Genomic DNA, 19,508 nt, shown 5'->3' with positions numbered 1-19,508 from the left:
GCTTTGCATCCTGTACCAGAGGGATCATTCATGAAGGAGGGTGACTCAGAAATGAGGGGAGGAGACAATAACGGTCAGGGATATAGTTAATTTGGAGGCGTCCTTCTAGAATCCGGGGCCTCCAGGATCTAGGTCCCGGGATGCAGGCAGACTGTTCGCTTTCCACTCCTAAATCAGATCTGCGGCTCCAGCACCATTGCTGCAGTTTACTCCGGGGCTGAGGAGGTTGTTGTCAATTGCGAGTTGGTTAGGTTGGTAGCTTTCGTGCCTGCTGAGAAAGGATCTCTCTGTTGCTCGCGCTGGCTTTCGCTCTCCCCCTCCCTCCCTGTAACATGCCAGCCCTTTAATGTGGAGTGTCAGGGAGACGGTGACGTCACCCTGCCCGCTGGGTGGCGTCCCCTCGGTCCGACACGAGTTCAGAGACAGACGCTGTCAGACTGCGCTCCACTTGGGGCTCTCCTGCCGCGGGTTTCTGCGTACCCACACTTTCTGCGGTGGAGGGGACGCCCCGCCGCAATTCAGGCCGTCATTCTCCCCAGGCCGGGGTTTGAGCGCCATTCGCTCGGGCCAGAGCCCGGATCTTCGCGCGGAGCCCGCCAGAGTCCCGCCCGCTGGATACGAGGACCCGCTTGGATGCTTCGCCTCCGAGCGCCCTCGGAAGATGGGCCGGCAGCCACACGCCTAAAGACACCCAGAGGTTACCAGGTATTGCCGGAACCGGCCGCCCCAATCCGGCACACAGCTTGCTGGGCACCTATTTGAGATCCCCAGCGGTAGGATTTTCCGCGTTAGGTTGAGGGGCAGCGGTGGGCTTCCGTGGTGACTGGTTTGGGAGTCGGGAGAACTAAGTTGGGGGTGGGGGGGTCTTTGGCTGTTGGGCAGGATAGGGAAGTTCACCAGGTTCCTTTCTCAGTTCAACTAACTTTTAATTGTCTCTTCTCCCCTCCCCACCCACCCAAAAAATAATGCCCCAACCAAAACCTTGTGTCTGCTCTGACGGCAGTTTCTGGGAGGGCTTGGGGTAAAAGTGAGGAGACACTTCTGCCTGGTCTACTGCTGCTAAGGCTGCGAGTCCTTAACGCAGAGCCAGCTTCCCGCCCCGGCTGGCCAGCCGCGCGCCTTGCTGGGGAGCGAGAGTTGGAATTATCCCAGGGTCTTATTAAGCGGATATGAATCTTGTTTGGTAGGGAAATGAGCATCGAAGGGCCACCTGACGAAGCTAGTGTTGGTTGTATCAGACTCGGGTGTCACTGCGCCTTGAACTGCCATGTAACGCCCTGTCCCCTGGAAATATTGTCTCTGATCCACCCAAAGTGACAAGCAGGCTTTCCTCTCCTTTGATCGCGTCGAGGTTTGTTCAAGCTTCCTGGAGGCCGCCAAATGTAATGAGAACTGAGGATCCAGGGGGCAGCAGGACAGAGGCTGCTGTATAGATGCCACAGGGGCCCAGAGAGAGGACACGGATAAGAAATTGGGTGAGGGAGTAAGATCGTGTACCCTCTGAAAGCACTGTAATAGCGAACTCGCTGTACGTGGCCGAAAGGGGCCACGCTATGGCCTCTGGTGATTTTTCAGGGCAAAGCATGCCTTGGCCAATGCGCTTGAGATGTAGCTGTGGAAAGATCAGTGTTTGTTTTCCTAGGGAGTGAGCCACTTTCCTTCTTTCCACTTAGTGGCATTGTCACTAAAATTTCTTTCCGCTTCCTTGTTCTGTATTTTCAACTTACTGAATATTTTCCCTCATTGTGGCATTCTGTTGACTGGAGGTGAAGTTAGAAATTTTACCACAGACCCAACCTGGGATTTCGACTTTCAACACTCCCATAGATTACCTAGTCCACCGATTGGCTGTATGGTGGGGCAGCTTTTCCCCATAAAGATATAGAGATATCAAAATAAATTAGGGGAAAAGAGTCACAGAAGGTGGTTCACATCAAGCTAAAAAATTTGCCTTTTGAAGTCTGCCAATGAAGATCCCCAAGAATTGTTCATTCCTGTGTACTGTTTCTGGGTTTAACACCCTTGCCTCTACTTACTTTCTTATCGTCATGGAAATGACAGTAAAACAGTTTTTAAATGACTACCATCTTCAACTTCATGTTTTTAAGCTACCTAACCATCTGAGACCAGAACCACTCAGTTCAGCAAGTAGGTTTTTTAAAAACTGAAACATTCTATTTTGGTGCAACGGTGTATATGACTTTGTACATTTTTCACCTTTTCAAAAAAATAATTCTAATTACAGTAACAAAATATCTAATGGCAAGGGTGAGGGAGAAGGCTGATTTCGTTTTGCTTTAATGACCTGTGTTTCAACCAATAATGAATTTCCCCAAGGAAACCATAGACACCAAGAAAATCACTTTTTAAAGGGTTTTGGGGGTTACTTTTTAACCAAAATCAATCTATCTCCAAGCAAATGAGAATGACAGCTCTTTAAATTTGGGTTTCAATGGCCAAGCCCCAGTTTTCCGTAACTTTTATTATCTGTACTAGTTACAACTATCGTTACTATTTAATTTCTAGAAGCAAGCCATTTTATTCCAACGGCTCCTATAAATCCGGGATAAGGTCTTAGGTTTCTTAGGAATTCACTGCTTTTGAGGAAAATACATAGTTAATTCACTTTAAATGTTAAGAAGTGCAAATTCCTGCATTTCTAAAGGATGGCCTTGAAGGAAATTAAGAGATGACTTTCTTGTGTTCAAAACTTGGTCACTTTTTCCAGTAATAATCGTGTCTTAACCAAAGCAAGAAAGTTATTCTAATTCTTTGGTTAGCGATTCATCCCACCCCTCTGTTTTAGTCTGAAAAGGCTCAAGTCAACGCTTTCTCCTTTCCCTTCCAGTGTCCAAGGCAGACCTGTAGGGCTCGGCCCGGGGTTCTGCGGCGGAGATGGCTTCCAGTCCGCTGCCAGGGCCCAACGACATCCTGCTGGCGTCGCCGTCGAGCGCCTTCCAGCCCGACACGCTGAGCCAGCCGCGGCCAGGGCACGCCAACCTCAAACCCAACCAGGTGGGCCAGGTGATCCTCTACGGCATTCCCATCGTGTCGTTGGTGATCGACGGGCAAGAGCGCCTGTGCCTGGCGCAGATCTCCAACACTCTGCTCAAGAACTTCAGCTACAACGAGATCCACAACCGTCGCGTGGCACTGGGCATCACGTGTGTGCAGTGCACGCCGGTGCAACTGGAGATCCTGCGGCGTGCCGGGGCCATGCCCATCTCATCGCGCCGCTGCGGCATGATCACCAAACGCGAGGCCGAGCGTCTGTGCAAGTCGTTCCTGGGCGAAAACAGGCCGCCCAAGCTGCCAGACAATTTCGCCTTCGACGTGTCACACGAGTGCGCCTGGGGCTGCCGCGGCAGCTTCATTCCCGCGCGCTACAACAGCTCGCGCGCCAAGTGCATCAAATGCAGCTACTGCAACATGTACTTCTCGCCCAACAAGTTCATTTTCCACTCCCACCGCACGCCCGACGCCAAGTACACTCAGCCAGACGCAGCCAACTTCAACTCGTGGCGCCGTCATCTCAAGCTCACCGACAAGAGTCCCCAGGACGAGCTGGTCTTCGCCTGGGAGGACGTCAAGGCCATGTTCAACGGCGGCAGCCGCAAGCGCGCACTGCCCCAGCCGGGCGCGCACCCCGCCTGCCACCCGCTCAGCTCTGTGAAGGCGGCCGCCGTGGCCGCCGCGGCCGCGGTGGCCGGAGGCGGGGGTCTGCTGGGCCCCCACCTGCTGGGTGCGCCCCCGCCGCCGCCGCCGCCACCGCCGCCCTTGGCAGAGCTGGCTGGTGCCCCGCACGCCCATCACAAGCGGCCGCGCTTCGACGACGACGACGACTCCTTGCAGGAGGCCGCCGTAGTGGCCGCCGCCAGCCTCTCGGCCGCAGCCGCCAGCCTCTCTGTGGCTGCTGCTTCGGGCGGCGCGGGGACTGGTGGGGGCGGCGCTGGGGGTGGCTGTGTGGCCGGCGTGGGCGTGGGCGCGGGCGCGGGGGCGGGTGCCGGGGCAGGGGCCAAAGGCCCGCGCAGCTACCCAGTCATCCCGGTGCCCAGCAAGGGCTCGTTCGGGGGCGTCCTGCAGAAGTTCCCGGGCTGCGGCGGGCTCTTCCCGCACCCCTACACCTTCCCTGCCGCGGCCGCCGCCTTCAGCTTGTGCCATAAGAAAGAGGATGCGGGTGCCGCCGCTGAGGCCCTGGGGGGCGCGGGCGCAGGCGGCGCGGGCGCGGCGCCCAAGGCCGGCTTGTCCGGCCTCTTCTGGCCCGCGGGCCGCAAGGACGCCTTCTATCCGCCCTTCTGCATGTTCTGGCCGCCGCGGACCCCTGGCGGGCTCCCGGTGCCCACCTACCTGCAGCCCCCGCCTCAGCCGCCCTCGGCGCTAGGCTGCGCGCTAGGCGAAAGCCCGGCCCTGCTGCGCCAGGCCTTCCTGGACCTGGCTGAGCCAGGCGGTGCTGCTGGGAGCGCCGAGGCCGCGCCCCCGCCGGGGCAGCCCCCGCAGGTAGTGGCCAACGGCCCGGGCTCCGGCCCACCTCCTCCTGCCGGGGGCGCCGGCTCTCGCGACGCGCTCTTCGAGTCGCCCCCGGGCGGCAGCGGCGGGGACTGCAGCGCGGGCTCCACGCCGCCCGCGGACTCTGTGGCAGCTGCCGGGGCAGGGGCCGCGGCCGCCGGGTCTGGCCCCGCGGGCTCCCGGGTTCCGGCGCCCCACCATCCGCACCTTCTGGAGGGGCGCAAAGCGGGCGGTGGCAGCTACCACCATTCCAGCGCCTTCCGGCCAGTGGGCGGCAAGGACGACGCGGAGAGCCTGGCCAAGCTGCACGGGGCGTCGGCGGGCGCGCCCCACTCGGCCCAGACGCATCCCCACCACCATCACCACCCTCACCACCACCACCACCACCACCACCCCCCGCAGCCGCCGTCGCCGCTTCTGCTGCTGCCCCCGCAGCCCGACGAGCCGGGTTCCGAGCGCCACCACCCGGCCCCGCCGCCGCCGCCGCCGCCGCCCCCGCCGCCCCCTCTGGCCCAGCACCCGCACCACCGAGGCCTTCTGTCTCCCGGGGGAACCAGCTGCTGCTACCCCAGCGAGGACAGCTCCGAGGACGAGGACGACGAGGAAGAAGAGCAGGAGGTGGACGTGGAGGGCCACAAGCCCCCCGAGGGCGAGGAAGAGGAGGAAGGTCGAGACCCTGACGACGACGAGGAAGAGGACGAGGAGACGGAGGTCCTACTCGGCGACCCCTTAGTCGGGGGCGGCCGGTTCCTCCAGGGCCGAGGGCCGTCGGAGAAGGGGAGCAGCCGGGACCGCGCGCCGGCCGTCGCGGGCGCGTTCCCGCTCGGCCTGAACTCCTCCAGGCTGCTGCAGGAAGACGGGAAACTCGGGGACCCCGGCTCGGACCTGCCCCCGCCCCCGCCGCCGCCCCTGGCCCCCCAGAAGGCGAGTGGCGGCGGCAGCAGCAGCCCGGGCAGCCCAGTTCACCATCCATCACTGGAGGAGCAGCCCTCCTACAAAGATGTAAATATCCCCTTTAGGCTCCTTCAAGCTAATTATTATTATTTAAATGCACCTTTAGGCTGAATCGGTTACATATGCGCAGGAAAGATGAATCACCAGATTTCCCCACAGAAATGAAATATTCAGTGTGTTTAGGAGGGCTTCTTTCCTGCCAGTGGTCCTCCGTAAAAATGTGGTTTCTGGTCCCTTTCTTGATAACGCCTTTCAAAGGCTTTGGGGCCGCCTTTCCCTCTTATATTTCAGCTGGCTGCTTGTGGAAGTTGGAAAAGACCCTTTAATTGACCTGGTCCTTCCTCTAATCCAACAATCCCCTTTGCCCTCCAACTGAGCACATTTGTTCCCCTAAAAGGAGCAAGACCACAACACCGGAGCAGCCTGAATCACCCTACCCCTTTTCTTCTCTATAGTTCAGTACCTCCCCTCCACCATGACCAAAAGTAAAAAATGCATTGGCTTCAAAAGTTAAATGCAGTTTTAACTGCTTTAATCAGTTTTAGCCAGAATGGACACAACTGTTGTGTCCAGTGAAACAAAAGACAGGATCTTCAGTATAGACCCTCTTCTCGGAAAAGTACCAACTGAAAAGTACTACCTGGGACCCCTAAAAGACCAAAGTTAAATTTAAATGACTGAACATTCAGTGTTCACTCACGTGTGCACAGAAAACACTCTGGAGGACTTTAGGGCGAAGTGAATCTGTCCTAATGAAGTGTAGATTTGACAGATAACATGGTGTGTTTATTTACAGAAGCATATGCCTATGCTTCTGTAAATAACATAGCATATATCTGATTAATCTGTATTACTTCTTAAAGGATAATAGTGTAGATATACGTAGTCATACACATGTATTTAAGTAAAAAAGTATTCAAAGAATAATCGTCAAAAAATGATGTCTCCTGAGGCTCCATGGAGTCACTTTTATTGATGCTTCTTCCTGCTGACTGTTGACATTAGCATATGGTTTGATCCGGGCATTGATTTGTATGTCTAATTCTTTTCCACACAGAGTCAGAAAACTAAGGAAAATAACCAAGTAATTGTATCTACAAAGGATGACAACAGCTTTTCAGGTAAAAAAAAAAAAAAAAATCAGCTGCCACTTTTCTTGCCTGCATTTAACCATTTCTGTGAGACTTATGCCCAGCCTCCTCACCTACCCACTACCACCATTCTGTTTTTAACCATTGATTTGTGGGCTCTTTTTTGGTTTTGTTTTTGAATATCAGAGTTTATATTTCAAAGATCAACATTTCTATAGTTTGCCAACGATGACAGTTTCCCAAATAACAGTGCCATTTCTCACAATCTCAGCATACTTCTTTGCATTTGAATGATGTCTGCCCTCTAAACATACACAGTTACATAAATATATGCTAAAATTCTTAGATATCTTTGTCCTCTCTGAATAGTTGCCACATTTTTGGAGAATACCTAGAGCCTTCTGATTGTTTCTCCTTGGAGTTAATAGCTCTCAAACTTAGATATAATAAGTAGCATCCTCCCTGCAAAAAAAAAAAAATTGGATCTTTGTGTGCCTCTTGTCAGTTGGATCACTTGCAGATTTTGTGTTTTGTTTTGGTTCTAGATAAGAACAAGGAGCATAGCTTTTTCATCACAGACTCTGATGCTTCTGGAGGAGATTTTTGGAGAGAAAGATCAGGTAGGCTGGGAACAAATAAGAGGAATGAATAGTCAGATGACAGGGAGAGGGGCTGAAATTCATAATCAAAAGACTGAATATTTAGTACAAGGGTAAAAATAAAAAACAATTCCTAGTAGATATAACTAAGAAAAACACAAATGGGGAAGCAGTGACATTAATAGCAATAAGATTATTAATTGCTGGGCATATTTCAGAAGAAAATTCAGAAATATATCAGGTTACACAATGAAACAGGCTGGAAAAGCATAAAATGACAATAATTGAAATGTTCTCTTAGAAACCTTCCATTAAAAAGGATCACAGCTTATTGCTTTTAATATCTGTCAGAAAGACATTAAAGGTGTTTTATGACATCTATGCCAACATTTATATTATCTCCATGATAATGATCTCTACACAAAATGTATAATACATTTACAAAAATTACATTATACAAATTAAATGAAACCACCTTTTACTGATTGCTAAATGTCTCCAAGGGGTTTGGGAAAGACGTGATTAGAAGTTTTGATACTAAGTTGTCTATTGCAGTGTCTTAAGGAGAGGGTTTTGTTTCTTGGGAAAAAGGAATCTAATTTTCCATTTATGTAATGCAAACTGCCTTGGCTTTGACTATTCACGGTTAATTGACTGTCAAACGAGGTTGTTATCCTGAGGCAATGTCTGCAAATTTGCCTGTCAAATGAGACAGAGAGAGCAAGCTAGGAAGTGAGGGAGAGAGAGAGAGTGGTGTAGAGAGCAGAAATAAAGAAAATAGGATCTTAAAGGAATCTTATATAACGGCAAAGTACAATGAAAAAGGTCTCCAAACCTTTGTTTTTATTTTCTCATAAGGAAACTTCTCAATATTTTTAATGGCAAAAGGCAAATACCTACTTTAATGAAATAAAATGTTTTATGTATCATGGGAAGAAAGCTTTATATATCATCAGATATTTCCAAATTATTTCATGAATATGGTATAAGTGTTGATCAATATTCGATTTTGGTTGATGATGCTGAGGAGTTATTAATAATAATTTTGTAGCATATCATTGGTTAGTGGCCACAAGTCTACATATAATACACAATACTATCATTTTGTGCATTATGGCATTACCTGTTTGTTAGCACATTTTGAATGTTTTTATTATTATCACTTCCACATATTAAAGCCTTATATCCTTTGAAAATTCATAAAATTATCTTTTGCAAATTTGCCCTAAGTGTCTAATGTGGTAAAATTATTAAATGTAGATTTTCCTGTTACACTCTAAAGTCACAAAGGCAATGATATTTTCCAGGAACTACCTCCTCCCTAGTATGATATTTCACAAAATTGAGGCCTGAAATGGAAAGCATTGCTACCAAGGAATTTCTAATGGATTTGCATGCACTCACACAAAAAAGGGTTTATAATTCTATTCAATTGATTCTGTAATATCTTGCCATTTCCCAGACATTTCTAGATAGTCAGTTGCTTTTGTTTGTTTGATATGTGTAGAAATTAATAGCCACTGGAAACAACACATTCATGAATATGAAAAAACAATTTTAGAAACATTCCTTAGTCCCAGATCAAATGATATTTAGCAGCTCTGTATATCTAAAAATAGATTTAAAAGTAGCCCAATTTCTCCCATGCCTGGAAACCACAGATGGGAAGTCTATATGTACTCCAGTGAATGCAAATCACCTCCGGCCGTTTCAGCTGCTGAAGTGGATTGGAGACCTTTGCTAGGTCTGTCTTGTACGACCAATGAGCACTTAGAGAATTCCCATTCCTCTCTACCAAGACAGACAAAGCTCAGAAAGAAAGTTTAAAAGCAATGTCACATCTCAGTGGCACTGTCAAGAACTTAATTTGGAAGGATTATTATTTTGTTTTGTTTTATCTTATGTATGACCCCATTTTGAAAGCAAGCCCCCGTAAAGCCTAAAGTTGAATAAAATAAGAAAACTTTCATGTAGCAATGGCTGTGTATTTTTTAAATAACATGACCCATTCAGAGGCAGGATGTGAAACCTGCTTTCCATTCACCAGTATTAAGACAAGCTTTAGAGTCGCTTGTTAAAATTAGTGCATTGTAATTTACACACATTAGTTTTAATTTGTTTTTGACTTCCTACATTTGGAGATTTTTACCTTGGAGTCGGCTATTGGTAATATTAAAGTTCAAATTATTATATACATGTATTTAATACAAAATAACACATTTAGACAGACATCAAACTTTACCCCAACCCTGAATTTCGTTTATCTACTAGATAAATATCAATCTTCATAAGTCTACTTCTGCTGAACTCTATTTGGGTAAAAATTTTTGTAAATATGCTATAAAAGATGGAACATGTGCAATAGCTTTTCAAGGGGTAACAATGATTCATACAAAATTATGGGATAATTTAATGTTTAAAATATTTTCTATAAATTTAATGAGAAAATCCAAATTTCACAGTCTGAAATTTACTTTTAGGAACTTTAATTTCCTACACTGCATTTAACAGCTAACATTCATAATTTTTTTAAGAAGTTTTCAGTTAACATTTCAACAACCATGCATACCCATACCCACAAGCAATCTATTAATAAATATATTTGAACAAACTAAGTCCTTCACAGAGCTATATTCTCTTCATTTCATGTATATTAATAGTCTCTGTATATTTGTTAAAAACTGAATTTCTCTCTTTCATCTTCCTCTGATTTGGATGGAATTTGAAAACAAATTCCTGGCTTTAAGAGGGGTTTGTTTTCCCCATGCTTATTGACCTAGTAAACCCTAACAAGCCATCAGAACCTTAAGAATGATAGCCAAGCAGATAAAAACCATGGTATCTACTGTTGTTTGATATTAAGATGGAAATATAAATGCTAAAAGGAAGTAAGTAAAAGTACAGTCAGGATCGGTGTTCATATAAAAATTCCACAGTGCCTGGAGCTCAGGGCAGTGCGGTCAATAGTTATATTGGTAATAACACGTAGTGATACTATTGAAATATTGCTAGTCCCTACCTCACAATAATTAATTTGATACAGATTCCCAGAGAAACTTGTTCCACATTGATTTTTCCATATCACAGTTTCATTCTCACATTATTCTGGGAAGTATGTAGTAGGAGGTTATACAATCTTATTATCCTGTATTGAATGGGAGACAGGTGAAACATGGAAGGGATAAAAATATATTATCAAAATAAGCAAATTTCAGGTGAAGGCTATACTTTGTTAACTTTATCTTGGAATCTTGGGTCACAAGAACTTCATCGTTATGGGTTTTTTTTTTGTTTGTTTGTTTGTTTTTTGTTTTTTGCTTAGCACGTGGAAATGTTTTAAACACCAGTAAGTGTTTAAAGGGTTTGGACTGTGTGGGACTTAACTTGGTGCACCGTCAGCTGCCATTGCTTTTAGAAAAGATTAGCTTGTGGTCCTCAGATTGAAATACACATTTGAGAAAATCCCAGACTGGGGCCCAAGTGACCTATGTTTTGGTATTAATGTATTTACTTGTGGTCAGATCCTGAGAATCCATTTATTTGGCAAAGTGTCAGAAATTCAGATGAGCCAAAGAGATTATGAGCGCTTGTGATTAGCTGCTTTGGAGTGGTAGCAGCCAAATGTTTTATCCAGTATTCTTTACTCATTAATGAAGATATTTTCCCCCATGTAACAACCGTTATCTACATGATAGCATTCATTTGTTTATTTACTTATTTACTCCACAAATATCTTTGAATGCCTACTGTATAATAAGTACTTTCCTAGACTCTGGGAATTCAGAAATAGAAATCAATACGAGTCCCTGCCCTCACATTGCTTCCAATCAAGAGGAGGAGACAGATTACCTAAGAAGGCAGTATGAGTACTATAATCGTAGTCTACACAAAAAACCATCTGATAAGATTTATATAACCCTGTGTCCCTTTAGCCAATCCAATGTTTAATTCAACCATTATTATTGGAAAATATCAATATTTTATTTCTATGCTTATATAGCTATAACAAAAAAAGAACGAAATGTCTTTTCAAACTGCCTGATAAGTCGGTATGCAATTTTTGATTTTTATAGGAATTTTTCACTCCCGTGGCAACCATAAATATAGTTAACCAGAAAATCTCTATGACCTTTCTCTGAACAAAGATATAGACCTATATTTAATTGATCCCTTTAAAAAATTCAGTTTAGCAACAATACTTTGTTCCAGTTGATATTTTAGTTCATCATTTTAATTAAGTTTAGCCTTTCTTTAATCTGTCAGCCTTATCAGTAACTATTACTTTTCATTAATTTTGAAGAGATTACATTTTTAAATGATTTTTTTAAAACCTCCCTGTTAATGGTCATTAACCTTACATACAGCAGATATAATTCTGTATAATTGAGGGACCAAACATGAAGTTCTCAAGCAGCCAAAATTACCCAAAAGCCAGGAGAACTTTTATCTATAGATCCTTTAAAATTAGACCCAAGTCAGATAGATAAGGGGGATGGTAGTTTCATCAAAATATTACCTACTCAAAAATATAAATGACAGTATTTCCAATTGCAATCCCAGAGTAAGGTTTTGCATTTCCATTTTGAATAACTTTAGTGAAGTTAAGTGATTTGAAATTGAATGCAGTGGGGTAAGCTGGTAAGACAGCTCAAAGCTATTGCAGGTCAAGGAAATCAGGTAAAGTGGAGTCATCCCCACTTTTCAGTCCCCTTCACTGGAGAAACGCTGGTGCCATTGCAGTGTGAGCATGGCTGCATCTTTTTATATGTATAGAAGTTTTAAAATCAATTTGATTTTCACTGGTATGATTCTCTAGTGTACTTAATATGCTATGGACAGATTTCTGAGAATAGTAAGAAGCAATTACACTTCTCATGAATATATAGCAGATGAAGCACTCTGATTCATTATTCCATTCTATTTTTGAACATGCTTATGATTTTTTTAAAAAAAAGCAAAAAATAAGAAAAATTCTTTGAAGTATAGACTAGTAGATCTGAGTTTTAATTCCCTCACTAGGTGACATTAGGTAAACCCTTAAACTATTTTGTTTCTCAGTTAATGTACCTATAAAATTTGATAAAACCTCCTGTCTCTAGTTTACTAGCAACATTTAGTTATGTACAATGTATTTTGAAGTCTTTCAATACATGGATTCAAAATTAAATAGTTTCCTTATTTCAGATATTTGTTTATTTTTATTTATGAACGTTTCCTTCTTACTAATGATTGTTAAAAATATAGAACTCAAGGAGATAGAGAAGGGCAATGAAAAAATGTCCAGGAAAAAAAATTAAACAGCATTAACTCACAAGACCAGTTCTAAAACTCAAGAGCTTTCTAAATGAACTCGAGACGCACTAATCAAAGATATTTAATTTACTGATTCAAGATGCAACGTGTATGCACCTTGCAATAAATTTTGATCATGAATTGTAAAGTTTGCCATAACTCTTAGTTTACTATAATCCCACTGGTATTAGTTAATCTTGCACTTGCTCCTTTTTTTTTCACTAATGGAGTTAATATTTAGTTAGTTCATTCTGTAGCATATGCTTTCCAGTGATATTGATTTTTTTTTCTTTTCTGTTCTGTGACCTCACTGAAGTGCCAAACATCACAGGGGAAGTCATTCAATGTAGAATTTAACACCAAGAAATTAGAAGTCTATATCCCACTGATAGAGGAGAAAATTATTTAACCTTGCTTTTTTATATAATTGATTTTTTAATGACTTAATGCAAAGTGTTTTTAAAAACCTCTCTATGCCATATGTTGTGCTGTATTTTGGTTATTCTTAAGTGTACTAGTTACACTAACTGTAGGTTAACTTTGACCCTATCCAAATTATACCTCTAAGAGTATCAGAGACAGAGAAAATAAAAAATCCAGAAAATCTCACTTAGAAGCAGATTATAAGACTAAGATCAATTTTAAAATTCAGAGTTTATTTGGAAGTTAAACATGCATACGTGGAGCTTTTGTTCAACAGTGGCCAGGCCCTGTGCCTGCTGTTGAGCAACAGGAGGACAGAGCCTCAGCCCAGCATAAAAGGGCAAGAAGGTGCATTGGGAGCAGCATGCAAAGATTGTTTGCAGCTTTGCATGCAGGAGATGGCTTCTCTTCTAGGGTGTGCTCCCCTGCAGCAGAACACAGACACAGCTAGCACATGAGTCTGCACAAACTATGGAAACATCTGGACACTTGACCGAAATTATAATACCTTTCTTCATCCAGATGTTAGAGTGCATGTGTATCTCATGTATAGACACAGTCTTAAACTAAAATAATTTTATTTACTAAATTGGCCAAGCGCAGTGGCTCATGCCTGTAATCCCAGCACTTTGGGAGGCTGAGGCAGGTGGATTGCCTGAGGTCAGGAGTTCAAGACCAGCCTGGCCAACAAGGTAAAACCCTGTCTATATTAAAAATACAAAAATTAGCCAGGTGTGGTGGCAGCCACCTGTAATCCCAGCTACTCGGGAGGCTGAGGCAGGAGAATCGCTTGAATCCAGGAGACGAAGATAACAGTGAGCTGAAACTGTACCACTGCACTCCAGCCTGGGTGACAGAGCAAGACTCCCTCTCAAAAAAAAAAAAAAAAAAAAGAAAAGAAAAGAAAAAAATTATTTACTAAATTTACCTGTGAGTGTGCAATTAAATAACACACTTTCTTTCTTTTTTTCTGCAGACTTCCTCTGTGGACAGACATTTTCCTTCTATTAAAAAAAATCAAAACAAAACATTTTCTCCAAATATTTTTCATGAAGTGTCAACAATAGTACTGGGAGGACATAATAGCCCTTTCAGTGATAAGCAACCACTTAGTCCCTGGGGCTGCTGGCTGGGGCCATGCTTCTAAGTGCCAGTTGTTGGCTCAAGGGAGAATTTAAAAGGGAGACAGCCAAGACAAGGAGTAGGAAACCAAGTAGGGATGAAATGACTGGGGGCAGCCTGGTACAGTGGCTCATGCTTATAATCCCAGTACTTTGGAAGAATGAAACAGGAGGATTCCCTGAGCCCAGGAGTTCGAGACCAGACTGGGCAACATAGGTAGACCTACAAAATATTTTTAAAAATTAGCCTGGCATAGTGGCACAGCTACTCTGGAGGCTGAAGTGGGAGGATCGCATGAGCCCAGAAGGACAGGCTGCAGTAAGCCATGTTCACACCACTGCACTCCAGCCTGGGCAACAGAGCAAGACCCTGTCTCAAAAAAAAAAAAAAAAGAAAAAGAAAAGAAAATGGTGGGGAGGAGAAAGAATGTATTTCCATAGAAGGGATGGGTGAATGCCACATTTTTTGATCTTTATTCAAATGGCAAAAGTTTCATATTGTACCCCATATACATGGTATACCCTACATGTGTACAGGACACAATATTTAAATGCTCTTATTTATTGAATTCAGAGTTCAGCTTGAGAAGAGTGATAACTGTTTAATCAGCTTCTCCTCTCTCATGTCCACCAACGGAACAGGTCACCTGACCATTCGTTTGGCTCTTATAGTTAAATGAGCTCTAAAAATGTACAATATTTTTGCTGTTGGAGGCTACAGTAGACATATACGCTAATTAATATTTTCAGGTCATGGTTAAAATTTAGTGCTGTGGTTTTGTTTGTTCCTGAAAGAAATTTTCAAAATGTCAGATGAGAACAAAACTTATTTTCTATTGGAGCATCACAAATTTCCCCAGTAAACTGAATATATAATTAGCCTAATTTAGTCAGAATATACAAATGGATCAAAATGTGCTTTTCACATATAGGAACAAGTTAGTGCTTTAAAACTCGTCATGACAACTAAGGATTTAGAATAGCGTTAGTTGGTATTTCTCTTACAAAGCAGAATGAATTAAAAAGTACAACAAGTATTTGTGGAATGTATTTGTACCCTTTCCTAAGGTAGGGGTGATCGGGATTACCTGTAGGGTAGGATCTCTCTGCCCTCAGAAAGTATATTTTCTAGCTGAGGAAGACCAGACTAATATTGTAAAACACTAGAACATCAGGTACAAAGGGGCAGAATAAAGACAATAAGCACTTAGAACTTCAGCCCAGGAAGGGATAAATCAGTAAGATTTGCAGAAGTTGAAAAAGCCTTATGGAAGAAAAATGTCTTAGTCTGGCCAGGCTGCTATAAAAAAAAAATAATACCATCGACTGGGTGGCTTAGACAATATCTGTTTTTCTCAGTTCTGGATGCTGGGAAGTCCAAGATCAAGGCACTGGCAGATTCAGTGATTGGTGAGGGAGCTCTCTTCCTGGTTCATAGATGGCCATTTTCTTGCTGTGTCCTCACATGGTGGAAAAGTAGGAAGGGAGCTCCCTGGGGTTTCTTTTATAAGGGCATTAATCCCATTCATAAGTGGTCTGCCCTCCTGGCCTAATCACCTCCCAAAGCCCCCCACCCCCTTCTCTAATACCACCACCTTGGGGGTTAGGATTTAAATATGTTAATTTGGGGATAAGGGGGACACAGGCATTCAATCCTTAACAAGAAAAGACTTGGATGGCATTCTGATTTTGGTTGCACAAGAAAGAGAGGAGAGGGCACCTTAGGACAGAGAAATGACATAAGGCAGTTGTAGGCAGCAGATGTGAAAAATAAATGCCTGTTAGGCAATAAACACAGGATGGGCCAGGTGCAGTGACTCAGGCGTATAATTCCAGCATTTTGCGAGGGCGAGATGGATGGATCACATGAGCTCAGGGGTTCAAGACCAGCCTGGGCAACATGGTGAAACCCCGTCTCTACAAAAAAAATACAGAAAAAAACTAGCCAGACATGATGGTGTGCACCTGTAGTCCCAGCTACCTGGGAGGCTGAGGTGAGAGGATTACCTGAGCCCAGGAGGTTGAGGCTGCAGTGAGCCTGGATTGTGTGAGTGCGCTCCAGCCTGGGTGGCAGAGCGAGAACTTGTCTCAAAAAGGGAGACAGGATGGCTCAGCAGGTTGGACAAGAATGGGAGAACCTAGAGACTTTGTGGGGAGAACTTTAGAATGGAGTCTTTGATGGAGACCATAGGGAGCCATTGCAGGTTCTTGAGCAGAGGCTTGCCATGATATTTAAGAGAAAGTAATTATTCTAGTACCTTGAAAGCTAGTGCTATTGAATCTGTTGGCTGTTTTTTTTTTTTTTTTTTTTTGCTTGTTTGTGTTGTTCATATAGTCCATCTCCTCCTCATTTGCTATTTACTGCTCATATCTGCTTCAGCATGTTACTTCTCTCACCCATCTTTCTCATACTTCCAGTTTCTAATGACATGTGAGGGCAGAACCAAGAGTGGGTTGGAATATTCACCTAGAATGTGGAACCACTGCTGTTGGAGGTCCTTGGAGAGACCAGGAAAGCCGACTCCTGACATTCCAGGCTCTCTGGTCTCCAGTTGCACTCAGCAGTGATGTAGTTTCCCTGATATGGCACGATGCTGCCTCCACCCTCCTGGATGAGCAGGATTCTCAGAAACCATGCAGATCACAATGTCCTGCAAATGTGCACTTGGAAAGTCCTGGTGTGGACACCTTCCTAAGCAGCAGCTTTTTCTTTTCTTCTTCTTTTTTGTATTTAAGTCAGGGTCTCACTCTGTCACCCAGGCTGGAGTGCAGTGGCCAGTGGTGCAATGATGACTCACCTCAGCCTTGACCTCCAGGGCTCAAGTGATCTTCCCACTCAGATTAGCCGGAACTAGAAGAGTGCACCACCACTCCCAGCTAATTTTTGTCTTTTTTGTACAGACAGAGTTTCGCCATGTTGCGCAGTCTGGTATCAAACTCCTGGGTTCAAGCACTCTCCCTCGGCCTCCCAGAGTTCTGGGATTACAGGTGTGAGCCATGGCACTGGGCCTTTAGCAGCAGCTTTTAGTCACTTCCATCCACAGGAGACGTTTTATGCCCTAGTTACCCGTTACTCTCCAACTTCAAACCAGTTTTTTTCTACAGTCTTAGATATGTTTGAGGCTGGGCTTCCAAGAAATATGCTTCTTCCATGTATAATTTTCTCTCCTACAACTCTACACTGTTAGAATTGCTGTGCTTCCCCCCACCCCCTCTCTTTTTTTTTTTCCCTGAGATGGAGTTTTGCTCTGTCACCCAGACTAGAATGCAGTGGCGTGATCTCGGTTTACTGCAATCTCTGCCTCCTGGGTTCAAGCGATTCTCCTACCTCAGCCTCCCAAGTAGCTGGGATTACAGGTGCCTGCCACCATGCCCAGCTAGTTTTTGTATTTTTAGTAGAGATGGGGTTTCACCATGTTGGCCAGGCTGGTCTTGAACTCCTGACCTTAGGTGATCCACCTGCCTCAGCCTCCCAAAGTGCTGGGATTATACACATGAGCCACCACATCTGGCTCACCAACCCCTTTTTCAAAAGAGGAATCCATTGCTCACTTTGGCAGCACATATACTAAAATTGGAACAATACAGAGAAGATTAGCATGGCCCCTGTGCAAGGATAACATACAAATTTCTGAAGCAGTCCATATTTAAAAACAAAAGGGGTGAGGGAAATATAGGGGATAAAAAAGTAAGCACTTTAGGGATGTTTCCAAACCCATTCATTAATTCTGAAAAAGTAAAATGTAGCCAACCTGAAGGAATTTTTAGAAAAATTGGGAGCTCACTGTCAACTAAATCACGTTTATTTAATCTAGTATTAGACTGCCTTTTTTTTTAACCAGATGGAAACCATTAGCAGTAATAGTGAACAAATATATCCAGGCTCCCAGAGGTCATTTTTAACCACCATTAACAATCTGGTTTTCACAGATTAGTAATATACGAAAGGCAACAGTCCAGTAAAAGATACACAAAAGGCAGCGGAAGCTTCTGTGCTTTTTATTTACCTAACATTTAGCCATTTTAAAAACCCTTTGTAAGTGAGGCATTCGAATCCTCTAAGCTCAAAATTGGCAGATTTTACCCAGAAGATGCAGCAAAATATCTGTTTGAAATAGATGCCAATGCAAATTGTTAATAAAACCTCTACAAAGCTGATGAAAAGACAAGCTTTTTATTAACATCATCAGTAGATTTGCCTGTGTTTAATATAGTTTCCATTTACTAGCTGCTTGTTTAGTGGTTTCATACCAATGTAAAGCTACTAATTATGAAGTAGGAAAGAAATGCATTTTACATATCATATTTTAATTTTTAAATTCAACTATCTAACTGAAACATAATATAAGATAAACAGTCCACAAAATATACTAATGAGTCAAAAGGAATCTGGTCTATAATTTGATAAGACTATGGTTTCTAGAATTGCCTATTCAGGAATAAAGATCTCATTTAAATCATGCTTTGAGTGGTTGAGAAAGTTGTAGAATGATAGTGTCATTATGCCCTGCAGATAAATGCAGAGATACATGCATGCTTCTTTCTTCTCTTGTTCAGATTCAATATTGTATGCCAGTATTTTTGAAACTTCTACACCTTTAACTGGTTAACTGAGACTGCACATAATATGCATGTATCTTCATCTCAAAATACTATTTTTCTTGGTTTACCCATTAATAATTTGTTATCAACCTTCATGTTACTCTTGTTTTAGATAACAGTGTTTTTCTAGGAATTGCATTGAGGTCTATATTTAAAATGCTTCACAGATATTTCCTCTCTATTTTCTTTTTATATGGAGAAGAAAGCCAAGGTATCAAGGTTCAAGAGTACATCTGAGCCTATAGAGAGGTCATGTCCAAGATGAGAATGAGAATGAGGCTATAGGAATCTGATCTGGATATTAGAGAAGATGCTTGCTATTAAGGAACTTAGGGATGCCAAGGATATTATTAGGCTCCTTCCTCTAATGATGCATATGTCCTGGAATATTTGTGTATATTTTCACAGATGTATTTACCTACACACACACACACATGCACAAACACACACAAACATACTCCTCACAGTCATCAAGTAAAATGCACTTGAATTGCCATTGATAATATCATGTTGAAAATTTCCCTGTCTGTCCATGATACTGTTATAGGTCAGCACTTCAGGGAGAAATTCTGTTTCCCTCTTTGCAGAAATTTTTACCTCAGCAAAGAAATCTCCCCGTACTTCTACAAGTGCCCAGGGCCATTACATTTTGGTTTTTGCTGAGGGAAATAAATAGTAAGGAGATCTTTGATGAATTCTGGCCCCCGCTTACTGTAATTTAGAATTTACGACCTCCTGGGGTCCTTTTCAGAAACAACTGCAGACCCTTTATTGAGTGCTTATTGTATGTTCAGCGCTGTGCTAGGCACTGGCCATACCTAACCTCTGCCGCCAAGTAACACATGGCCCACTGACTGAGGAAGGGGAGTAAGGAAACAGCACCATGCCTGAGGCCTGTGCAGGGAACTCTGGGGACACAG

At 43.8% G+C, this 19,508-nt stretch overlaps 1 protein-coding gene and 1 pseudogene across 3 annotated transcripts in view, besides 1 other annotated feature; both read left to right on the top strand.

Moving 5' to 3' along the window:
- Nucleotides 35-551: an enhancer, noted in NCBI's record as "H3K4me1 hESC enhancer chr18:44777899-44778415 (GRCh37/hg19 assembly coordinates)". NCBI's record gives its function as "activates a minimal SCP1, AML or CMV promoter by ChIP-STARR-seq in naive H9 embryonic stem cells {active_cell/tissue: H9 hESC(naive)}" and the evidence as "EXISTENCE:reporter gene assay evidence [ECO:0000049][PMID:30033119]".
- SKOR2 (SKI family transcriptional corepressor 2) overlaps nt 419-19,508 on the top strand; it is a 45,492-nt gene continuing 26,402 nt past the window's right edge. Inside the window, exons 1-4 of one of the 3 annotated variants that reach the window (NM_001278063.4) lie at nt 419-705; nt 2,849-5,508; nt 6,518-6,581; nt 7,097-7,171. In NM_001278063.4, the coding sequence (NP_001264992.1) occupies nt 2,896-5,508; nt 6,518-6,581; nt 7,097-7,171 (2,752 nt within the window). In that variant the 5' untranslated portion in view covers nt 419-705; nt 2,849-2,895. Of the gene's footprint in view, nt 706-2,554; nt 5,509-6,517; nt 6,582-7,096; nt 7,172-19,508 lie in introns of those variants that run through there. The other 2 variants (NM_001037802.3, XM_047437757.1) reach the window with 2 other exon arrangements.
- RNU6-1131P (RNA, U6 small nuclear 1131, pseudogene) lies at nt 17,531-17,637 on the top strand (annotated as a pseudogene).

This window comes from Homo sapiens, chromosome 18 (assembly GCF_000001405.40).
Source record: "Homo sapiens chromosome 18, GRCh38.p14 Primary Assembly".
Taxonomy (NCBI): Eukaryota; Metazoa; Chordata; class Mammalia; order Primates; family Hominidae; genus Homo; species Homo sapiens.
This window is presented reverse-complemented; position numbering and strand designations above follow the sequence as displayed.